The 23,241-nt window shown below is 36.1% G+C and overlaps 2 protein-coding genes across 34 annotated transcripts in view, besides 6 other annotated features; one reads left to right on the top strand and one right to left on the bottom strand.

The window, feature by feature from the left end:
- PPIP5K2 (diphosphoinositol pentakisphosphate kinase 2) overlaps positions 1-10,664 on the bottom strand; it is a 92,499-nt gene extending 81,835 nt beyond the window's left edge. For all 30 annotated transcript variants that reach the window (NM_001281471.3, XM_005277534.3, XM_005277536.3 and 27 more), the window contains exons 1-2: positions 10,477-10,664; positions 1,262-1,659 (exon numbers count right to left, since the gene is read on the bottom strand). In NM_001281471.3, coding sequence (NP_001268400.1) covers positions 1,262-1,375 — 114 coding nt within the window. In that variant the 5' untranslated portion in view covers positions 1,376-1,659; positions 10,477-10,664. The remainder of the gene's footprint in view (positions 1-1,261; positions 1,660-10,476) is intronic.
- Positions 10,264-10,323: an enhancer, noted in NCBI's record as "active region_22859". NCBI's record gives its function as "activates an Ori minimal core promoter by ATAC-STARR-seq in GM12878 lymphoblastoid cells {active_cell/tissue: GM12878}" and the evidence as "EXISTENCE:reporter gene assay evidence [ECO:0000049][PMID:35858748]".
- Positions 10,374-10,563: an enhancer, noted in NCBI's record as "active region_22858". NCBI's record gives its function as "activates an Ori minimal core promoter by ATAC-STARR-seq in GM12878 lymphoblastoid cells {active_cell/tissue: GM12878}" and the evidence as "EXISTENCE:reporter gene assay evidence [ECO:0000049][PMID:35858748]".
- Positions 10,594-10,853: an enhancer, noted in NCBI's record as "active region_22857". NCBI's record gives its function as "activates an Ori minimal core promoter by ATAC-STARR-seq in GM12878 lymphoblastoid cells {active_cell/tissue: GM12878}" and the evidence as "EXISTENCE:reporter gene assay evidence [ECO:0000049][PMID:35858748]".
- Positions 10,594-11,189: a biological region, named in NCBI's record as "NANOG-H3K27ac-H3K4me1 hESC enhancer GRCh37_chr5:102455480-102455980".
- Positions 10,689-11,189: an enhancer, noted in NCBI's record as "NANOG-H3K27ac-H3K4me1 hESC enhancer chr5:102455480-102455980 (GRCh37/hg19 assembly coordinates)". NCBI's record gives its function as "activates a minimal SCP1, AML or CMV promoter by ChIP-STARR-seq in naive H9 embryonic stem cells {active_cell/tissue: H9 hESC(naive)}" and the evidence as "EXISTENCE:reporter gene assay evidence [ECO:0000049][PMID:30033119]".
- GIN1 (gypsy retrotransposon integrase 1) overlaps positions 10,827-23,241 on the top strand; it is a 34,139-nt gene continuing 21,724 nt past the window's right edge. For 3 of the 4 annotated variants that reach the window (NR_134299.2, NM_001317954.2, NM_017676.2), the window contains exons 1-2: positions 10,827-10,901; positions 22,251-22,396. Coding sequence is in view for 2 of the 4 variants with exons in the window: in NM_017676.2 (NP_060146.2) it covers positions 22,258-22,396 (139 nt within the window). In the remaining 2 variants the exon portion in view is untranslated. Of the gene's footprint in view, positions 12,421-22,250; positions 22,397-23,241 lie in introns of all 4 variants that reach the window. The other variant, XM_017009599.2, reaches the window with a different exon arrangement.
- Positions 11,190-11,691: an enhancer, noted in NCBI's record as "NANOG-H3K27ac-H3K4me1 hESC enhancer chr5:102454978-102455479 (GRCh37/hg19 assembly coordinates)". NCBI's record gives its function as "activates a minimal SCP1, AML or CMV promoter by ChIP-STARR-seq in naive H9 embryonic stem cells {active_cell/tissue: H9 hESC(naive)}" and the evidence as "EXISTENCE:reporter gene assay evidence [ECO:0000049][PMID:30033119]".

The raw sequence follows: 23,241 nt of genomic DNA, 5'->3' as shown, positions 1-23,241 counted from the left end.
GGAAATAAAAATTTTGATGTTACTAAAACATAGAGGGTAGAAAGAATGGGAGAGAGGTATGGATGTAGATATAGATGAGACATAAAAGCCTTTACATGTAAGAAGCCTGGCTTTGATCTGCTAGTGGTGTTCATACCATGTTCAGAAAAACTCTAGAAAAAGGGGACAAAGGTAGTAGAGGCTGAGTCAATAGTGCTTTCTAGTTTAAGTGAGCCAGAGACGCTCTGCTTTCATGTTTTACTTATAGGACTTCTAGATAAAACTTCAGATGAAGAAAAGTTTGAGCTGGTAAGAGAAGCCTGCCTGAAAATCTAGTTTTTCAGGGGCAGGAGGTAGCAAAGGTGCTCTGCGTTGAAGGTTTTAAATGAGTTAACAGTAGAGTTTGCATTTCAGATATGTGTAACTCCACTGTGAAAGATATTGTTAATATAAAAAGGGGCTTAAAGAGTCATCTAATCAATATTTTTGGTTTGTTTTTACTATTTTTACAAAATAGAACAGGTTTTTCTCTTAAAACTAAATTCTCTTTCCAATTAGAAATATATGAAAAACAAACACATACTGTAGGTCTGTATTTTAAATCAGTATTCACAGTAAAGCAATCTCTACTTAAAAAATTAAATGATGAGTAAGAAAAATATTGGTCTAATGTAACTATAGCAAAATGAGCATAATAAATATATATCATTCCTAAGATCCAGTATGGATAGAACATGATATCAGAAAGAGAACAAGTTTTAGACACACACACAAACACATAGATACTTTTTAGGTAGCCTACCCTTCTAGCCACTCAGTTTTCAGACTTCTGAAGTTAATAAATATGAGTATCTTCGGTTCAACCAGAACTCACATTGGTAACAGAAGCTTAATGAATCTATTTAAGTAATCCTTCTTCTTTTGTAACTTTAAAATTATTTCCTTCCACCTATCTTCAATTATTTGTTATGTATTTCTACATACAAGAAAGCTTTTGGATTTATGGCCCAGATTACTGTTTCTCTTTGCCACTTTTGTTACCTAACACTGAGTTACACTATGCGTATCACTGAAAGAAACTAAAATAGGCATCATTAAACAACATAAAGGTTTGACCCATAACTGTATTTATTGATTCATCATAGATTCAACAACATCAGTCATGAAACAAAATATACTTTTTCAGTTCAAAAATTTTCCAACAAAAAAAGACTAACAGTGATTAGTAAAAAGCCTATACTGTATTGGTCTTCTCTCGCCAAAGGAAAAACAAACAACTTACAGAATCATCTTCCTCCTCATCGTCTTCATCTGCATGGTGGAAGAAATGTCGATAATTTCCAGGATTTATTTCTGTATCTTCTGGTCCAACGAAGAATCTGGGGGCTTCACTCATTTTTATTTTATTTGATGTAGATATAATTGAAATGATTTATATTAAAACTGCCTCTAAGTAAATAGTATCAGAAGAAAGCATTCTCCATATATTAGCTGACGCACAGGTCTGTGACAGCTTGTTTCTGCTTATACAATCACTTGATATTATGATGACTGTTGGCAAATACTCTTTTGTTCTTAGATATCATTGCTTCATTGTTGATATCAAAGTTGTTGTTGCAATTCAAAATACAAAGACAGTGAAGTTACTGCTTTCTTGAGTTGATACAGCAATCTTCTTACCTAAAATGCAATGAAAAAACTAATTTTGGAGAGTGCACTCCAAAAACATTCATGTAAAAAATAATTTTTAATGACACTTGTAAAATCAGCCCAATAACTTGATGTATATTGTCAAAATGAAAATACATTTTCTCCCATAAGAAAATTACTTATAATAAAAGCAAAAAAATTAAGAAACTAAAACTGATCTTCAGTAATATACATCTTAGCAATTTGACAAACATATGAATTAACAAAAAGACTACACATTAAATTCCTCATCCCAAAATAGCTAAACTAATTAAGAGAAAATTACTCAAATTATAACAAAATTATATTAAAGCTAAATCTCTTAGCACATAGTTATGAAATATCTGAATGGAATGGAAAAGAACAGACAAATGGAATGCAGCTTTAAAAGCCACTGACAAATATTAATCTGAAATTACATTAAGTCAATTTGTAAAAGTTGTCTGTAAACAGTTTTTTTAGGGAACATAACAATTCTATATTCTGGTCTCATACATAAATGAACAAAAAAAGATTAGAGTCAGAACAAGATTTCATTTAACAGCAGCTCTTAAACATGTAGAAGTCAAAAACTCTTTAACAAATCTAATAAAATCTATGGATCTCCTCCCCAGAAAAAAAAAGTACATGTGCACTAAATTCTGCAAGAATTTTATGTGATTCACTGACATTCAAACTCTTCCACATAACCAGGCGTCCATGAGTATCAGTTAAAGAACTATCATAGCTGGACTCATTGGCTCACACCTGTAATCCCAGCTACTTGGGAGGCTAAGGTGGGAGGATGGCTTGAGCCAAATAGTTTGAGGCTGCAGGGAGCTATGACTGTGCCTCTACACTCCAGCTTGAATAACAGAGAAAGACTCTGTCTCAAATAAATAAATAAATAAATAAATAAATAAATAAATAAGAACTATAAGAGCAGTAGCATCTCAAAATATTCCTTACCATAGTTGTTTACATGTACTTGCTTCCTGGTCATATTAAAATTAATTATATACCAAGATGAAACTACATAACAAATGCTTCATTTGATTACTGGTAGTACAATAAATTACTTGATCAAATATTCTTAAAAGTCAAACAATATGCTAGGTAGAATTAAAAGCATAACTCCAAAAGTTCTATTCCTAAAGATCTAATTCCAGTATAACTTGGTGACTCCCCAGTAGACATTAAAATCAATTTGCCCAGTCAGCCTTCACTTTAACCATCTTTAAAATACAGCGTTACATTTAAAATAATTTGTAATTTAAAAATAAAAGCAGAAATAATTTACTTTATAAATCAATGCCTTTTGTTCTATTCCTCTGTACTGTTTAACATGTAAAAATGTTTACTGAAAAAAAAAACAACAACAACAGAAAGTTTCCAGTGGCTGTAAAACTTCATGTTGGTGGATAAGTTGATCTCAGTTCTGTTTCCTATCAAATGGCAAATATCTCTTGGTTTCTTTCAATTTTTTTACTCTTTCCATCTAAAAACAGCTCAAATATTTCGATAATGGAAGGGGAATGTTCTGGAGTCAGGTACATCTGTTTTAATCTGTCAGTGCTTAACTAGTGACTTGTGCTAGTTGCTATTAGTCTATAAAAAAGGGAGTATAGTAACACCCTGTAACCCTGTAAAGACTAAGTGAGATAGCATAAGTGCTTGGCGTATATTAAACACTCAATAAACCATAGTTTCCATGAACACTCCTGTAAACCAAACTCCCTACTGACTCTAACATGTAAATCTAAAAGAATGAATTGTTCATTATTTGTTGAAATGAATATAGTTATCCAACAAACACTATTTACTTATTATAGAAGGCATAGTATTAAGTGCTGGTTATATAAAGTCAAAGTAAACATGGCTCTTTTCCTTAAGGAGCTTTTAGTCTAGTAGGAAGATAGCCAAATAAATTGACATTTTCTGTTTTAGTGTGATAAACCACCAATAAAAAAGATAATAGAAACATGTAATAATGTAATAAATGTCTATCTACTTCAGAATGGCAATGATAGGAAATGCCAGGTCCAGTATGTCAATGCAATATATAGGTATGTACTTATATGTATACATACATGAATATGAGTGTGTATACACACATTTTATGACATTATTTTAAAACTGTATTGTACTTCCTTCTAGTTAAAGTGTTCTAACAAAGTGAGAACAATACTGTTTTAGAGGTAAAGCTGAAAATTAATTTTTTTTAGCCTTTTAGAGTATTCATTGGAAAAAGTCTGGAATACATACAAATAAAATTTAAAGAATCAGTTAATAAGTCCATGACACAATGGCAGAACTAATGGTTGTAGCTGTGCAGACCTATTGGGCTGTGTTTCCTACTATTCTGTGATGGTTAATACTGAGTGTCAACTTGATTGGATTGAAGGATGCAAAGTATTGATCATGGGTGTATCTGTGAGGGTGCTGCCAAAGGAGATAAACATTTGAGTCAGTGTTCCGGGAAAGGCAGACCCACCCTTAATCTGGGTGGGCACCATCTTATCAGCTGCCAGTGCAGCTAGAATATAAGGCAGACAGAAAAAAAAAAAAAAAACGTGAAAAGGCTAGATAGACTAGCTTAGCCTCCCAGCCTGCATCTTTCTCCTGTGCTGGTTGCTTCCTGCTCTTAAACATCAGACTCCCAGTTCTTCAGCTTTGGGACTCGGATTGGCTTCCATGCTCCTCAGCTTGCACATGGCCTATTGTGGGACCTTGTGATCGATCGTGTGACTTAATACTACTTAATAAACTCCCATTTGTAGCTATATCTATCCTATTAGTTCTGTCCCTCTAGAGAACCCTGACTAATACATAGTCTTTTCAATATAATTCTCCCACATTTTTGAAATACTTTACAAAATATGTGTGTAAGTAGAAATCAACTTTCGGGGAAAAAAAAGTATGTATCCAATAGATTTTTTTTTCCCAAGGGTATGAATTAATGACTGGTCTGTCCCCTTTTGTTAACTTATTCAAGTTCTGTTTAAGTCTGTAATGCTGTATGAAGTATATAGATATATGTCCCTCATTTGATTATGACCTTAGGTCTGAAACATGTCTCATTCATTCATTTGGTGAGGGACTAGGTAAATCAACAAATAAATACATGTTAGAAAGACCTCTTTAATAAGGTGACATTTAAATATAAATTTAATTTAAATGAGAAACCAACCATGGGGTTATATGGTGTGAACATTCCAGGTAAGAAACATCAAGTATAAAGCCTCTAAAGCAGAAGTATGCTTGGCATATTTCCCATGTTCATGAAAGAGTAAGGTGGAGCAGAGCAGGCAAGCAAAGGAAAAATGGTAAAAAATCATGTCAGATAAGTAGCTAAGATGCACACAAAGGACTGAGAAGCCATAGTAAGAATTTTCAATTTGTTAAATGTGATTGCACTGCATTTAGGGAAGCTGAGGCAGGCGGATCACTTGAGGCCAGGAGTTCAAGACCAGTCTGGCCAACATGGTGAAACCCCGTCTCTGCTAAAATATAAAAATTAGCCCGGCATGGTGGCATGCGCCTGTAATCCCAGCTACTCAGGAGGCTGGGGCAGGAGAATCACTTGAACCCTGGAGGTGGAGGTTGCAGTAAGCCGGGATTGCACCACTGCACTCCAGCCTGGGCAACAGAGTGAGACTCTGTCTCAAACAAACAAGAAAATAGAAGGAGATGAAATACAGACAAGTTATACAGACAGTTATTTTGAAGAGTTTATAAAAGATGGACAGAGGAATTGGACCTCTAAAGGACATAAAGTGAAGGAAGCCTTTCTTTTTTTTTCTGTTATTCCACTTTAGTATATGAGAGATACTTAGAGATGTCATATAAAAAAAAAAAAACTGAACAGGCTAGTGGTTAAGAGCATGGATTCAGGGGTTAAAATACCTGGGTTTAAAACCTGACTGACTCCAATTAGCTGATCTTGAGCAAGTGAGTTAACTTCTTATGGCCTCAATTTCCTCATCTGTAAATTGTACATAGCTCATAGGTCATTTTAATGATGTTATATGTAAGATAATATACTAAGAGTGCTTGTATCCCAACGTCTAGGCTATACTCCACATCACTTAAATCAAAATGATTGAGAGTAGAGTTCGGGTAATTTTAAGTCTTCCCAGGTAATTCCAATGTGTAGCCAAGTTTGAGAACCAGTTTTTGAAAACAAGTACTATAGGAAATTTCCTATAATAAAAAGGAGATAAAACCGATGAAGCAGAATTTTTGTCTTCTGGTGGTTGGCACATCTCAAGTATCCAATAGATACTCCTCTACAAAACTTGCCTTAACAATTTACAAGACCTTCTCCGAATCATTCGTTTTGACCTTTGGTCACATATAACCTTGTTATTTAACAGCTTGGGTTATGTATATCCCTCCACAACATAAATCTCAAGGGAAGGAACATTTATTAGGCACTGTTACCTAGTAAGTACCTTACTTGTAAATTCAGAGCCTCCCAACATGTTGTCTCACCATAAATGAATTGTAAGTATGCCAAGAAATTAATTGCCTCAGCCTTTAAGGCAGCTGTTATACCCTGGCCAGTTGCTTCCAGTAGCACTCTCTTCAGTTTCCCCAGGATACTGTACAAATACTACCATTTTCTAGGTATGCCTTAATATGAAAAAAGTTGGGAAGAAATTACTTACTACTTTGTGATTTAACAATCTCACAGCCATCCTGGAATTAGAAATATATTCTTCATTTTATAAATGTTTTATGTATGTAGATATGTGTCCATTTTGTCATTATAAATTAAGACTTGAGGTTCAGAAAGTTCAGGTAATTTGATCATCATCACAGAGCCAATAAGGGTTGCAAATGGAAGTCAAACCCAGGTCTGTTTAAACCAAAGGCCATTATACTAAAGAGCAAAAATGAGGACTCCACAGTCCTTATGACAGCATGGCAAATATAAATTCTCAGAAAACTAAAAATATAAAATAAATTCAAATACATTTCTGTCACCTAAGTAGGATATATGTCGTAGTACAAGAGGAGATTTTTTTTTTTTTTTTGAGATGGAGTCTCGCTCTGTCCCCAGGTTGGAGTGCAGTGGCACGATCTCGGCTCACTACAAGCTCCTCCTCCCGGGTTCACACCATTCTCCTGCCTCAGCCTCCCAAGTAGCTGGGACTACAGGCACCCACCACCACACTCAGCTAATTTTTTGTATTTTTAGTAGAGACGGAGTTTCACAGTGTTAGCCAGGATGGTTTCAATCTCCTGACCTCGTGATCCTCCCGCCTCGGCCTCCCAAAGTGCTGGGATTACAGGTGTGAGCCACCGCGCCCGGCCAAGATGAGATTTTATGAGCATCATAAGAGATGCAGGACATTCAAAATGGTTTGTATTATTTCACTTAAAGCGCTGATACTTGAACGAAGTACAGTTTATACATATAGCACTTCCATATTATTTAGCATTTTGATCAATGTTCAGTCATTAATTTCAACATATGCTAACTGTCTGGGCATAAAGATACATACATTATTCAAATATCAGTGTTGAACCTTACTTTATTTTTAGAATTCCTTCTATAGCAGTGGTCCCAAAATGGACTGGTTACATCAGAATTATCTGGTAGACTTGTAAAAACACAAGTTACTGGGCTTATCACAGATTAGGAATTCCTAAACAGTAATTCTTAACTAGAAAAACTGTATTTTTACAAATGGATGAGCAGCCAGGTTTGGGAATCTAACTGTACAAAAGACAAATATCCCTTAAACCTGATTTCTAAATCTGAAATGAGTGTTATGCTACTAAAAATGTCCACACTCAATGCAGTAGTTCTCAAACATTAGCATGCAACAGAATCACCTGTAGGGCTTGTTAATACTAATCTCAAAACTCTGGGGGTGGGGCCCAATATTTTGCCTTTCCAAAAGTTCCAAGGTGATGCTGATGTTGCTCGTCGTCCTGGAATCACACTATGAGAACAATTGCTCTAGACTCAAAACTGGGTTTGAAAACTTTTTCTGCAAGTTGCTCAGCTCTGTGTCCTTAGTCAAGTTATTGAACCTCTCTAGTCATCATCTGTAAAATGGGATTATGAATCTCATATATTGTTTTGACAATTGCAATACAGATGCCACAGCAAATAGCACATATTAAGCACTCAGTAAATGTTAGATGTTTAATATTTTGTTAAATGTTGTTATGACAGTTTTCTAGCAAATTTAATTGGCAAGGAACAAATATAAATAACTCAATTTAGAATGTATCTACTTACCTCTTGTCTAATGAAGCCACAGAAACTCCCGTTTGCCACTGCTGTTGTTGGAGACCTCTTTACACCTTTTCTAGTCTTACCACACTGCTTGAGACTATCATGAACACTACTGCCTGGGATAATCATCTCTTCCATACCTTTACTGGTCACGGCCAGAGCTACCTGATCCTCAAAATAACACCCTGGATCATCCATCAGTCCCACCTAGTATTCAGATCCCCCTTACCTGAACTTAATATTTCCAAGCCATCACTGTAGCCCTTTTCATGGGTTCCCTCAGGAGCCCAACTATAAACTAGTAAATCTCTGCTCTCAAAATCAGAGGAAATGGGAGCTCCTGCTCCTGCTGCTTAGCCTAAACGCAAACACATAACCAGTTTTCCTGAAATTCCAAAAGCATTTTCCAATGGAAACACTGTTATAAATGGTGTCTCCTTTCCACCAATAGTACATCCAGGTAATAGGGAATAAATAGGCTTCTGCAGGCTGGCAAAGGCAACCTGGCTCATTTATAAGATTACACAAAAAAAGCCTATTCCAAGTTCCACACAACCTTCTTGTTGATTTCTTTTTCCTTCTTCAAACGTTCATTTAATATCTTTTTGCTGAACCTGCATTTCCTTCTGCCTGGAATTCACTGCTCTCCTTGAAAGTTCCTATCCGCCATTCAAAAACCAACTGAAAGGTCTTCAGTGAAGGTTTTCCTGAGAACTATCACACTTCTGTTAGGCCCCAAATACACATAAAAACCCTCTCCCATCTTCTATGTTCCGCAGCATTTTGGATCTATCTTTTCACTTATCTGTTTCCATCAGGGTTGGGTTTTTTCCTCCCCAACTTTTTATTATGAAAAATTTCAAATATTCGGAAAAGTTGAAAGAACAGTTTGTTAATCATCTATATGCCCACCATTATACTCACAATTGCCAACATTTTGCCATATTTGCTATTTATACACACAGACACATACACACACATACACTTGCTGTACCATTTGAAAGTACTAGATATCAACACACTTCAACTCTAAGTACGTTAGTATGTATCTGCTAAAAATAAGAACACCTTCCTACATAACCACAATTCCTTTTCCACGTGAGAAAATTAATAGTCCATAACATTGTCTATATTGTGGTTGCATGGGAGCTTTTAAAGAATGAGGACCTAATCTATATATTCCCACTACTTAACTTGGTTCATAGCACTTATTTGGGTAATCAACAGATGTTCTACCAATTGTTCAGTTTAATACCCTCACAACAACTACTCTGAAAGTCATATGAATTTAACATTTAAAACAGCAACCTTTGATTTTAAAATTTTCTGCAAATCAGTTTAGTCATTTGCTTTAAATAAACCTGTGCTGCAGTAAGTACAGTATTCTGGGTTCTGCACTACTTAATTCTGCATCACAATGCTCCATAAAGACAGAGATCATGTCTAACTTTTGTCAGACATATAAGTAGGTACACCAAAATTTTTTAAATGAATGGATACTTTCAGACACTGAAAATGTTAGTGAAGAAATTGAAATCGAGGAAGAACAGGACAGGACAATAGAATACAGATTTTGAAGGCAGACAGATCTGGTTTTTAACACAGATTCAAACGTTTACTTATAACAAATGTTTAATAGAGCAAGTTGCTTGACTGTTCAAAGCCTCCATTTCTAACTCTGTAAAATGGTGATAATAATCTAACATACCTCCTGGAATTGTTGAGAGGAATAAATGACAAACTATGTAAAGCACTCGGCACACATAAGACTCAGTTAATGGCAACTATCGTTATTATTTTATCTATCTGAGACAAAAAAATTATCTATTTCATTTAAGAATTCTCAATAGCAAAACAAAATCCTGTCCCAGTGTAGAGCGAGGATTTTACGTGCTAAGGTCAGCTATGCTTCCCACTTCCACAGTTAAGCCTTCCAGCAAGACAACTACTAGCCAAAGGACACCAAGAGTCGCAATCTCCCAGGAAGTGGTCAAGAACCTCGTGAATGAGATCCAGGGATCATCACCCTGGCCCCTTCTTCTTCAAGGCGCAGAAGGCTGCAACGACCTCCAAATGACTAGGTGCGGCAGTGCCCTGCAGCCTCGGTCCCTACTATGAAAAGCTGCAACACATGAGGCTTTTGTTATTTTAAAGTGGGTGTGGGGTTGACAGAGAGAGGGATAAAGACTAAGGCAGAAAATTTTTTAAAAAGCCACCTCTACCCACAGCAGTCCCATAACTCGAGGCTAATCACTTCAGTGGAGCCAGGCACAGCGTGGGGTAGAAGCTCAGCGGTTCCCTTTTAGCTGATCTTCAATTTCTGGCGTCTCGAACCCAAGAAATGAAAAAGGGAAGCCATGGGGGAGCAGGAGGAGAAATCAAGGCGCGAAAGGACCCTCAAAGCTGTACTGTCACTCCACGCCCAGGCTGTCATTCTCTCCAGCACAAGCCCCTCGGTGGAGCATGTGTTTAGGGTCTGCAGAGCACAGGAGACAAAGCAGAAGCCCAGCAGCCGCCTCAACCCTGGCATGATCAGGTTCCGCATCTCCGGTTCTCCTCCGGTTTTGGGCCCTCACCTGCCACGAATGCGGTCGTCACGCGAGCAGTTGTGAGATGGTCAAGCCCATTCAGGTCTAGGTTACCCCCTTTCATCCCGGAGGCAGGGGTGAGGTGTTTGTCAAGAGACTTCAGTTGTAGGCGTGGACGTAGGCTACTTCCTTCAGTAACAGCTATAGGGCCACATAAGGGAACCTCAGGCTACTACACCTCAGGAATCTCCGTCACGCCTCTTCCCCGCCCTCCTCGGGTCTCACGCCGAAACCTCACCGGGCGGAACGATTTCCGGCAAGAGCCAAATGATCAGTCCTAACCTTTCTGACCGTGGTTCCAAGGTTCCCCAAAGGACTGCCCTCTAAAGGACCCGGGTAGTTCCGCTTCCGGCAGCGCGAGATAAATCACGAGAGGAAGCTTAAATCTGTCGTTTGAATTTAGGACCACCTCGGTGAGTGGTCGTTCTGGTGTGCTGTGTCATACCTACTGTTTTTTAAAGTGAGGCGTAACCCGACAGTAATTTCAAAACCATTCGCCTCGACCGGCCTAAGGAAGGGTTTAATTGAGTCTGTGGGGAGATTTTGCGCAAGCGCCTTTGAGATAGGAGGGCCTTGGGCGTTGCGATGTCCCGCGCTAGCTGAGCAGAAAGGGCGAGTGCTGTTTCGGGCCTGGGGAGGTGCCTACTGGGTGTAATTGAGTTTTACCAAACGGTCATTTTCCTGCTGATTCTGAGTGTGGTTGGACCTTGCCCTTAAGATTCCGTTAACGAGTCGCCCAAAGCTTAGGAAATGCTCCCTCACAGCGTTTGAGACTAAGCACTTTTGGCCGGCGTTGAAGAATTCTCCCCATTACTTTGATCAGTCATTTAATCAGAAATTTTGCCCCAAATTTAAATACGTGGCGGGGAGAAACGTGAGGTCAAGAGGGAATCCTGTCACGTAGTTTTAAAAGAAAAATGTCCACTTTATCTCAGTGTAGGTTTTTCTTAAATGGGCATTTCTGAACCAAAGTAGATACTTTTTAAAGTGGAAATGCATTTATCCCATGTGGCTTCATGTGAATGCATATGGCGATGAAGGCATTTTTTTGTTCAATGAATTTGTACTCTGAAGTGAACCAGATTACAGAGAAGTGTATTTAAATTTACAGGTCCTTGACGTTGCATAAAATTGTGCGTGTCCATTTTTTGGAGCTTAAAATAGAATAATTCAAATGTCAGAATTCCGATCCAAGTTAACATGTTGATTGAAAATTGCAGATTTTAAGATGGAACCAGCGGGTATTATAACCTTTTAGGGGCTTAAATTGGTGGCTTTGTTTTTAACCCTTGGTGAAACAGTTAAGTCCTAATCTTGACATAATACCTAACTGCCTTACTTTATTGAACACAAAATTATTAAAGGAATTAAGCAATGAGTTGATTTTATTTGCTTTTATGGAGGGGACAAAGTGTATAAAGCTTAACCAAATGTGACCCTGACATTCCTCTTGCAAAACTACAAGTTGTAATCAATCACTTTCATTTTTTCTTATTCCTACATGTTTAAGTACATTAAGTAATGATTTTAAGAGAAATTCTTGAAAATATGAGCATATCCAAAGAAGTCCCAGGACAGTCTTTCTTTATGTAGTAGAAACCACTTAATCCCCCTTGTAAATGATACCTTTACTTAGCAATCAGAGTATAAGAAGATATTTATATTTGTCTCGAATATTACAGTTTCAAGCCATTTTCTCATATGTATGGGCTTTGAAAAAAAAAAAACAACTTTCATTTACGTTACTTTTGTATATGAATACCAATTATTAGCAGTAAAACTTTTAACTACTTCAAAGGCTATGCTTTTCGTGAACTGAGTTTTCTTTCTTACGCATTTTCTATTTCTCCTTGTCATCTGTCTCTCTACCTCCAGAACCAGCAGTTTGTGAACTGCATTAGACTGTTATATCGTTATAAAAGGATACAATTCGTGAGTCTTCTGATTATTTTCTTCTTAGCACTGAAGCTTTATAAACATTGCTATAAAACATTAACACCATTAATGAAAGGAAAGAGATTTTAAAATATTTTTTCATGTAGGTGAAGATTTTGGGAAAAGAAAGGGTTTTATGTTACTTTAAACAGCCTGATATGGATGATAATACTTAGATATGATAATAATTATACATTACCATATACAAAGGACTTTTAATCATCCTCGTAATTGCAAAAAAGGGATAGATATTATGTCCTTTTCCAAACATAGATACTAAGGCTTAAGTCTATACCTTCTTAGACACAGTTTACTTATAGTGCCATGTATGTGAAAGTGAACTGTAATGTTTTCAAAAGTGAAATAATTTACCTCTGGAATATTTGCTATAATTTTTAATTCTCCTTTCAGGAAATGCAGGTAATTCTTTATTCATTCACAAATAGTTGAGTGTCCACTGTGTTCTGAACATTATGTTAAACAATGTAAACATAAAAAATTAATAAACTCTTTCCATTCCTCATTTATAATCTAAATTATTGATTACAAAAATCACTTTATAATTTGTGTAACAGAGGCCTGAACCAAGTATTATAAAAGCTAAGGATAACAAGTAATTGACTTACTGGTATAGCAGGGGGGAAAAGCGTGAAATTTGAAGTAAGAGACACCAAGTTAAAAGTGTCAGCGCATGTACTCACTTTATTACCTTGAGTAAATTGGACAATCTCTGAACCTCCATTTTCCTACCTGTAAAATGGATATAAAACTAATACCTACTTCATGAAGTACTGTGAGGATTATCATAGTAAAATACTGCATAACTATTTGCAGCTGTAGTCGTGAGTCACTTAGCAATGGAATAAATTCTGAGAAATGCTTTGTTAGGCAGTTTCAGCATTGCACGAATACAGACTCTACCTACATGAACCTAGATGATATGTGTGTGTGTGTGTGTGTATATTTTTTTCTTCATATAGAGAACCAAATGTCCCTGCACATTATTGGGTATCATTTATTTCTCCTACTTGATCTGCAGTGCTAATATCAAATGACCTATATCAGGTTCTATATATGCTCTGCTATCATCTTACGGGACCAATAGGCAGTCCATCCTTGACCAAAACATTCTTATGCAGTGCAATTGCGTTGGCATTGTTTTTAAAATTTTTAATTTTTTAAAATTATTTCCTCTTCCTATACTTTTGGCTTTTCCAGATGTCATATAAACAGAAATATAAAATATATAGCCATTTGTGTCTGGCTTATTTCACTTAGCATAATGATTTTGAGATTTATTCATATTGTTAGGTCTATTTATAGTTTGTTCCTTATCAATCCTTAATAGTATTCCAGTATGTGGATCTACTGTAATTTGTTTATCCATTCACCAGTTGATGAACATTTGTTTTCAGGTTTTGGCTGATATGAATAAAACTTCTAAAAACATACACTTACAGGTTTTTAGGTGTACATATTTTCTTTTGGGTTAGTATCTAAGATTGGTATTGCTGGACCATATGGTAAATTGATGTTTAACTTTATAAGAAATTGCCAAACTGTTTTCCAACATGTTTACATCATTTTCTATTATCACCAGTAAGAGCATCCTTGGTAGTACCTAGCATTGTTAGGTTTTGTTTTATTTTTGTTGTTGTTAGTGTGTAGTCATATCTTATGGTAGTTTTAGTTTACATTTTTTATTATCTATTGATGTTGAGCATTTTTTCATGTGTTTATTTGCTAATCATATCTCTTTAGTGAAGTGTATTTCCAGGTTTTAAATTGGGTTGTTTGCTTTCTTGTTAAGCTTCGAGAGTTCTTTATAAATTCTAGAAAAAGTTATTTATCATATGTATGTATTGCAGATATTTTATCCCAGTGTTATTTCTCTTTTTTTAGCAGTTCTTTAAGGAATAAAAATTTTAATTTTTTCTTTATGCATAGCTGCTTTTTCTTTGCTGTCTGGGAAGCCATTACCCAACCTGAGCTCACAAAGATTTTTGTTGTTGTCTTCGAGAAGTTGTATAGTTTTAAGTTGTACATTTAGATCTGTGAGCCATCATGAATTAATTTTTACATATCATTTGAGGTATGAGTTGAGGTTCATCTTTTTTCAAAGGATGTTTAATTGTTACAGCATTTGTTGAAAAGATTATCCTTTCTTCATTGAATTACCTTGGCACCTTTGTTGAAAATCAGTTTACTATAACTGAGTGGCTATTTCTGTCACTATTCTGTTCGATAGATTTAAGGCTGTCATTTTGCCATTATAACACAGTCTTGATTACCATAGTAGTATAGAAAGTCCTGAAACCAAATAATGTGAAATTCTTCAACTATATTCATTTCTCAAAGTTGTTGTAATTATTCTGAGTCCTTTAGCTTTCCATATCAATTTTAGAATCAGCCTGTCAGTTTCTGCAAAAGAGCTTGAGGGTTCCTGATTGGGACTGCATTGAATCTATAGATCAATTTGGAGAAAATTGGCATTTTGTCCCACTTTTTCTCAGAGGTAGAGTGGGAGTTACTCCAGCTTTCTGCATTCTAGTCAGAAGCCTATATGGGAATGTTTAGTGGCATTTCAGAAAGAAATAATTTTCTTCCATGGTTATATTCACTATAATATCTTTATTGGAAGAGATCACAGGACGAATCCCTCTATTTGTGAATTGGATGTCATCCCCTGCTGCCATCTCAGGACATCATACCATAAGTTTTTTCTCCTTTGTTTTCAGTGGTCTTTCTAGAAGCCCTTCCATTAGCATTAAACTTTTTGGGTTACTCCCTTGTCGAAAGCAAAACAATCTTGTTCAAAAAAAAAATTGTTTTAATTGTAGTAAATCACACATAACATGAAATTTACCATCTTAACCATTTTTAAGTGTGCAGTTCAGTGGCTTTAAGTACATTCACATTTGTTTTACAACTATTACCACCATCCATCCCAAGAACTCTTTTCATTTTGTGTAACTGAAACTCTTGACCAGTTAAATAATAACTCTTACATTCTCTCCTCCTCACCCCCTGTTCTATGCAACCATCATTATTCTTTCTGTCTGTATGTATTTGACTACTCTGACTACCTCATATAGGTGGAATCTTACAGTATTTATCTTTTTGTGACAGGTTCATTTCACTAAGCTTAATGTCCTCAAGATTCATCCATGTGGTAACGTGTGTTAGAATCTCCTTCCCTTTAAAGGTGTGTGAATATATACACCGTATTTTGTTTATCCATTCAGCCATTGATGGACACTTGAGTTGCTTCCATCATTTGGCTGTTGTGGGTGATGTGGCTATGAACATGACTGTCAAAACTTTTAACCCCACTAGAATGTAAACTCAATGAAGGTCAAGAGAATCTACATCTTGTTTATTATCCTGTCTCCAACGTTGTAACTGGCACATAGCAGTTACTCAGTCACATTTTTTAGATCAATGAATGAACCTTATATCTGTCTCTAGCAACTATCTTGTAGCTCCTTGCCTTTATAGCTAAGCCCAAGTTTCTAAATCCACTTTCTGAATTTCCATTCATTCCTTGTGTCATTTCAGTCTGGTTGCCAACTGCCCTGCTATACTGTAACTATACTGTATACTGTTGCCAAAACCACTAGCTACATTATGGTTCTTATATCACTTAGCCTCTCTGTGTACTTCTAAGAAGTCTGTATTTCCCAGACTTCTATTACCAGAACCTCTTCTGGCTTTTTTCCTGTTTCTCTGGCTAGTCTCATGTCCCTAAAGATTTACAATATATTTGGGAGAGAGACATATAAACTAATATATTCAATAGAGTGTTTCAGATTTTATGATAAAGGTTGACACATATTACTGTGAATGTACCAATGAGGGTGTGCACAATTCTCCCTGAGATTGGGGATGTGGTCAGAAAGGATTCATGGATGAATGAACTCATTAATGTGAACGTTGAAAGATAAGGATATGTTCACTGCACTTCCTACTGTGTACACTTTCCATCTGATCCTTCTTCCATTGCCTTAACTTCACCTACTTTTTACATGCCGAGTTCATCCATGAAGAATAGAACCTGCTTAATATTGTCATCTTTCTCCCTAAGCCAGAGCTTCAGACAGAAGTGATCCCAGATTCTTCTTTGTGTTTACTCCACACATCTAGTCAGTTACAGTTCTTATATAATGTATCTATCCATTTATACTGACACTGCTTTGGCTCAGAATTTCCTCATTTCTTGCTTTAATTATACAGTAGCTTCCTAGCTGACTGGTACAGGTATTCCTGTCTCTACCCCAATCTCTATTCCATATTGGTGCACAATACACTTTATAGAATAGAAATCTAATCTTGTAACTCCAACTCATTCTTAAAATTTTAAGTTATTCCAGGTTGGAGTGGTTAGAAGACACTCTGCAGGAAATTACACCTAGCCAGAGTTTTGAAATATGATGAGGGGCTGGAGAAATAGCAATAAAAGTTCATTCCAGGCAAAAATATCAATGAAAAGGTGTGAGCACACTGCATGGGATGGTTGAAGAACTGTGGTTATGTTTTGAATTGAGAATGCCAAGAGAAAAAGATGGAGAGATTGATAAAAACCATATCTTATAAAGCCTTGTATACTGGCAGAGGTATTTAGATATCATTAGTGCCATGGTCTTAATGGTTGTATTCTCCCAAAATTCATATGTTGAAATCCTAACCACCAAGGTGATGGTATTAAGAGGTTGGACCTTGGGGCTGGGCGCGGTGGCTCACACCTGTAAGCCCAGCACTTTGGGAGGCTAAGGTGGGTGGATCACTTGAGGTCAGGAGTTCGAGACCAGCCTGGCCAACATCGTGAAACCTCATCTCTACTAAAAATATAAAAATTAGCTGGGCATGGTGGCATGCACCCGTAGTCCCAGTTACTCGAGAGGCTGAGGAACAAAATTTGCTTGAGCCTGGGAGGCAGAGGTTGCAGTAAGCTGAGATCATGCCACTGCACTCCAGCCTGGGCGACAGAGCGCAACTCTGTCTCAAAAAAAAAAAAAAAAAAGAGGTGGAACTTTGAGGAGGTGACTTGATCATAGGTCAGAGCTCTCATTAATGGGATTAGTGCCTGTATTTTAAAGAGTCTGAGAGAAACCCCTTTCCCCTTCCCTCATGTGAAGTTACAGTGAGAAGACAGCTGCCTATAAGAAAGTGAACCCTCAGTAGACACTAAATTTGCTGGCATCTTGATCTTGTATTTCCTAGCCTCCAGAACTGTGAGAAAGAAATTTCTGTTTATAAGCCATCCAGTTTATGGTATATTTGTTATAGCCGCCCAAGTGGACTAAAACAATCAGGAATGGCAAAAGATGTATTTCGAGTTAAGTGAATATTTTGATAAGATTTGTGTTTTAGTGTGACCTCTGTGACTGCAGTGAGGACAGGGACCATATTAGAGACAGAGGAGGCAAGGTCAGATAGAAGGTGAGTGTGAGCTAAGGCAGTGGCAATGGAATAAAGTTCAAGGTTCTACCTCATCTACAATCAGTGCTTTTCCTCCTTTTCCAGGTGAATCTGGGTCTCTACACATCTGTTTTGATAGTACTCTTTGCATACATCTGTTAAAACACCACTCTAAACTGTATAAATGCTGATTTCCTCCTCTTTTCCTCTCATTTATACCATAAGCTCCGTGAGGACAGGGATTTCATTTTATTTAACTTTGTATTAGTATCATCTAGTATATATAAGGGTTTAAGAGCTCAGTAACTGAATGAGCAAATTCAAGGTTATATGGATGAACAGGCAAAAAACTATTAAAAAGGGTAAAGCATGGAAGTTCTACAGTAGGCACAAAGAAGATTAGGAGAGGTCAAGATCACTTTAGATTCAGAGATCATGGAACACTTGCTTCATTGAGATGCTAGAGCTTGATTTTGAAAGATGGGTAAGGCTTAATCAGGTGGAAGGATATACCATTTAGGGGAAAATGATGTAAACCAAGGTATAGAGAATGGTTGGGGATATGGCCATGGGTATAGAAAGGAAAGTAGTGAGAGAAGAAGCTGTATTATGTTCTGCCAGGTTGTAGAGGGTAGGCTAAATAGTCTAGACCTTAGCCACTAAGTGGAAGATAATGCCCAGAGGCAGTCTCATGGTGTCCACTCTGTCAAGTAAATCATTTGTAAGATAAAAATATGCTAGGGATAGTCTAAATTAAAGTTTCAAGGTGACTATGTCAAATAACTACACCTTTAAGTCTTAGTTCTGTTGAGCCAAGACAACTCACCCATATAAAAATGAAAATAATACACTTGTGAAAGCATTTGTGAAATATGAAAATCTGTAGGAAATAGATGGTTTTTATGTCTTCTCCCAATGATGTTTATGTCCCTCTCCCTAACATAGATATATGTTAGTCTTCTCCCACTACTTTGATGAGAAAAAAACAAACCAAAAACCTTAAAGAGCTCAGTCTCCAAAGATTTTTGTAGTGCTTTCCTTTTCTCCTTGTCCCTTGTACTATAGGTTTACTCTGAGGAGAGCAAATTTCTCTATTTCGATCTACTTTCAATTATTCAAAAGTTAAAGATTTCAAAGCAGAGAAGTTAATTTCAGTAAATAGACCTTTTCTGAGAAGTTTTTGTATATTTATTATAAATAGGAAAACCAACAGTGTCCTAATGGCACGTTAACTTAATATACTGAAGACTTCATCTTACATTAGATAGAAAAATTTTCTGGTCTCTCCAGGAGGTAAATGGGTAGGGGGAGGAAGACAAGAGATGGTAGGAACTTGGAACCAAGAGGTTTTTAAATATAAAAGCAAAATACGGAAGCTACTGTGGATTATGCAGACTCACATTTTTTTTCCAATGGCTGGTTTGTTTTCTACCAGTTCTGGTTACCCACATCCCTCTGTGTTTTGGGGCCTGTACTTCCTCTAAGGTGTGAGAGTTTGGTCTTTTCCTTCTGTGGGCTTTTACAGGCCTGAAAAAGCTCCTCCCCTTTTCTTTTTAAGGTCCTTCAGGAGTTTTTGCAACCTTTACTGGTCTCTAAAAGGAAGGAAATACACAATTTTTATCTTCCTTTTATAAACCTCGTCTTCCTACAGATACCATCCTCCCAACTGGCTAGTATGGGATATTTCTAGATTTTCCTTTGGATTGCTTAGACGATTTGTGACATTGATAGTTCCAAAAACTATTAAGGGAAAACTATAACAGGAGGTTATATGTAGTATATTATTAATTTTACAGTATGTATAGTCTATATATTGATTTCATCTAAACTGAGAAGGGACAGGTTTCTGTCCCTTAGACTTGAAAGAATGTGTTATCATTGTAGTATAGAGATGAAAATAGAGGACACAAAGAAAAAATGATTTTGGTTTCTTTTTTTTTTAAGAGTTGAGGACGATTAATGCAGAGCTAGAATGATAGGCAGGCAAATGGATGGGTAGACAAACAGGTTCTATATTCCCAACTTGAAACGACACAAGGCTTCATGAATTGAAAATTGATTAGGAAGTAAAAGTTTGCCATGGAGTCCTGGCAGAGGAGAGAGTGTAGTGAGGATGACATGGAAAGTAAAGGCATCAGGAGGTCTTATGTGGCAGATTGGAGGGCAGTAGGGTGCCACTAGTGTTTCACCACAGATGGTTTGAAAAGCACTGACCTGGAGCGACATGAAACTTGGTAACAATAGAAGTGGCTACAGGACCAGAACAGAGTATACGCATGGTAAAACTTCTTGATACCTTTACTGTTTCCATTTAGTGGCTATTATGACTATAAAATATCTATGAACATTTTTGTACACATATTTTGATAGTCATAGACTAATTTCACTGGAATATAAAATTAGAATTGCCAAACCTTTAGGGTAAATTTGTGCTCAGCTTTAGAAGAAACTCAGTTTTCCTAGGTGGTTGCAACATTTTATCCTCCCACAATGTATGAGAGTTCCAGTTGCTGCCTGTCTTCACCAACACTTGGTGTTGTCTTTGGTTTTTAATTTTAGCCTGTTCAGTAGTGTGTAATTCTAAGTCATCGTGGTTTTATTTGCATTGCCCTGTGGAATAATGATGTTGAGCACATTTTCACGTGCTTATTGACCATTGGATATTCTCTTTTATGAAGTGCTGTGTAGAAATTTCCCCCCATTTTTTGAATTGGGTTTTTGTCCTTTTCTTTTTGATTTTTAGAAGTTCCTTGCATACACTGGGTCTGAGTCCTTTGTTAGATATATGTATTACAGATATCTTCTCCCAATGCGTGTCCTATGTTTTCACTTTCTTAATGGTGTCTTTCATGAATACACATTTTTACTTTGATAAAGCCCTATTGTTAATTTTTTTTTCTTTTAAGGATAGTGTTTTTTTTTTGTGTCTTATTTAAGAAATCTTTGCTTAGCCTAAGATTTGAAAGATCTTTTCCTATGTTTTCTTCCAGAATCATTGTTATTTATCTTTCACATTTAAGTTTATGATTTATCTGGAATTAATTTTTGTGTAAGATGTGAGGTAGGTAGTTAAGGTTCATTTTTTCCCCTAATACAGTTATCTAATTGTCCAACATTATTTATTGAAAAGACCACCTCTTTCCTCATTGTGTTGATATCTTCATTGTAAACGTATTGACTTTACATGTGTGGATGTAATTCTGTACTCCTTGTTCAATTACAGTGATGTATTTGTCTGTCCTTATGCCAATTGGCTTGTCTTATTTACTTTATTTGTATAAAAAGTCTTAAATCTCATCCATTCATCTTTGAGATGATTCAGAAACTGTGATAGGCTGCATTTGTTTGGTTTGGGATGCAGCCATCTATTAGAAGATGAAAAAAATCATGTATTTAATAATCAATTGGAAGTGAATTAAACTTAGAACAAACTGATTGTCTTATAATACTTTATAGAGATAATTAACCTGTTTTTTAGGTTATGATGGGACTGTGTTAACATTTCAGAACCTTTTCTTTTAAATTGACATATACTTTATGTTAACCTAAGGTAAGAAATGTACTGTTACTCTCTCTGGAAGTTAAAAGTAGATCAGAAAGACGGTTTTACATTTGCAAAGAGCTGTGTCATAGGGAAAGTGAATTGGTAAGCTGTTTAAGCCATGACAATAGGCACAGTCTGTTTCTGCTTTGTTCCAGCATTCTCTTTCCAGTAAATACTCTTAGTCTCATCCCTAGATCTTCCAGTGGTCAGTAAACATCTTTTTTTAAATGTAATTTCAAAATTGTAAGATTTATGTCAGAATCCTAGCAGGAAACAGAAGACATTCTGGTGGGATTTTAAAGAAAATTTAATGGAGCTCCTTTCTATAGACAGACAGTAGCAAAGTAAACAACATGGCACCTGGAGACTAGCAAAAGCAAAAATAGTTACCACCTTAGGGCTGAGGTGACAAGAAGAAGAAATAACCATGAATATATTTAGAAATAATATAAAGCTATATTTCTTCTCTTATAACTTATTTATTTAAATGTCACATGACAGGATCCTCCTGTGTTACCATCCTGTGAATGTAACATTTCAGTTGATAGCAATGAAATTTTAAGCAAAACTTTTTGAAGTGTACTGGTTCATTTCCTTTTTTCTCAGTATGTGGAAAATTTTCAGCATTTCTTATCAAATGGAAAGAGACAAGATAATTTGTCATGGGGTATATCAAAAATAGCATTTGAGTATTTTTGTTCATATACATCGCTGTTCCTTTCCTGTACTGCAATTATCTCCCTCACAAATAAATTCTGGGAATTCTCGGTTCATATGTAAATAGAAATATGACAGAAGTCTTAACTGAAATAGCAATTCAGTTAGCTTAAAATTTAAGTTATCTTTTTAAATACCTTTTACCTAGGTTCACAATGGTCCGTAGTGGAAAAAATGGTGACCTTCATCTTAAACAGATTGCATATTACAAACGAACTGGTGAATATCATTCAACTACACTGCCAAGTGAGAGAAGTGGCATAAGAAGAGCAGCAAAAAAATTTGTCTTCAAAGGTAAAATTAATGTTCAAATTTTGATTATTGAGTTGTAGATTCTTCCCCACATTCTTCCTTGTGGAAGTTTGGGAATTTCTGTAGTAGTTGGTTGTTGCTAAACAATTACCAGTTGAATTGATGATGCCACTCAATCAAAAGCAAAATAAAAATTACACTCAAGCTAACTGAAGGCCAATAAGCGTGAAAAGGGTTGTTTAAATTATAGACAGAATATGATACCATGAAAGAAAACAAAACATTTTTCTAAATTAACAACTTCTGCTTTTACCCTCTCGTGGTCTCTAATGGTGCACTTTCCAGCACTGTTGCCAATTTCAATGAGGAACTTTTTTGATGCTTAATATGAAAATGTTGACAAAGTTAACTGGTTTGTTTACTAAAATGAAAACTGGAAGGAATTAACTATATTTCTGTGATCATGTCCCCTTGAACCCCACCACTGCCATTAAATATTCTCAGGATCACATTCATTTTAGGACCCTTGGATCTTCCTGAATGGATTAAATATTTGAAAGGCAGTGGGATATTTATCTTGGAAGGTCATGATAATTTTTGCCTCTTTTTCCCCTTATAAAGGGGAAGAGAAGTTTGGGATGAGATAAACAACAAGTAGTCACCAGATAATTGAATGAATGTTTGTGTTACAAATGGGAATTTTGCCTCTTAGGCTTACCCCAAAACAGGTTAATAAAACTCTAGGATAATAAATAAATGTCTGCTTGCATCTCCCTGTGTATATCCCTACCAATAACTCCCTTATACTTAAGATTAGGCAGACCTATTACCTCTTAAACTAAAGTGAGGATTCTTTCATTCATATATTTGATAATTTATGTAACAAA

This window comes from Homo sapiens, chromosome 5 (genome assembly GCF_000001405.40).
Source record: "Homo sapiens chromosome 5, GRCh38.p14 Primary Assembly".
Taxonomy (NCBI): Eukaryota; Metazoa; Chordata; class Mammalia; order Primates; family Hominidae; genus Homo; species Homo sapiens.
Note: the sequence above shows the minus strand (reverse complement) of the source record. Positions and strands in the feature narration are given on the sequence as shown.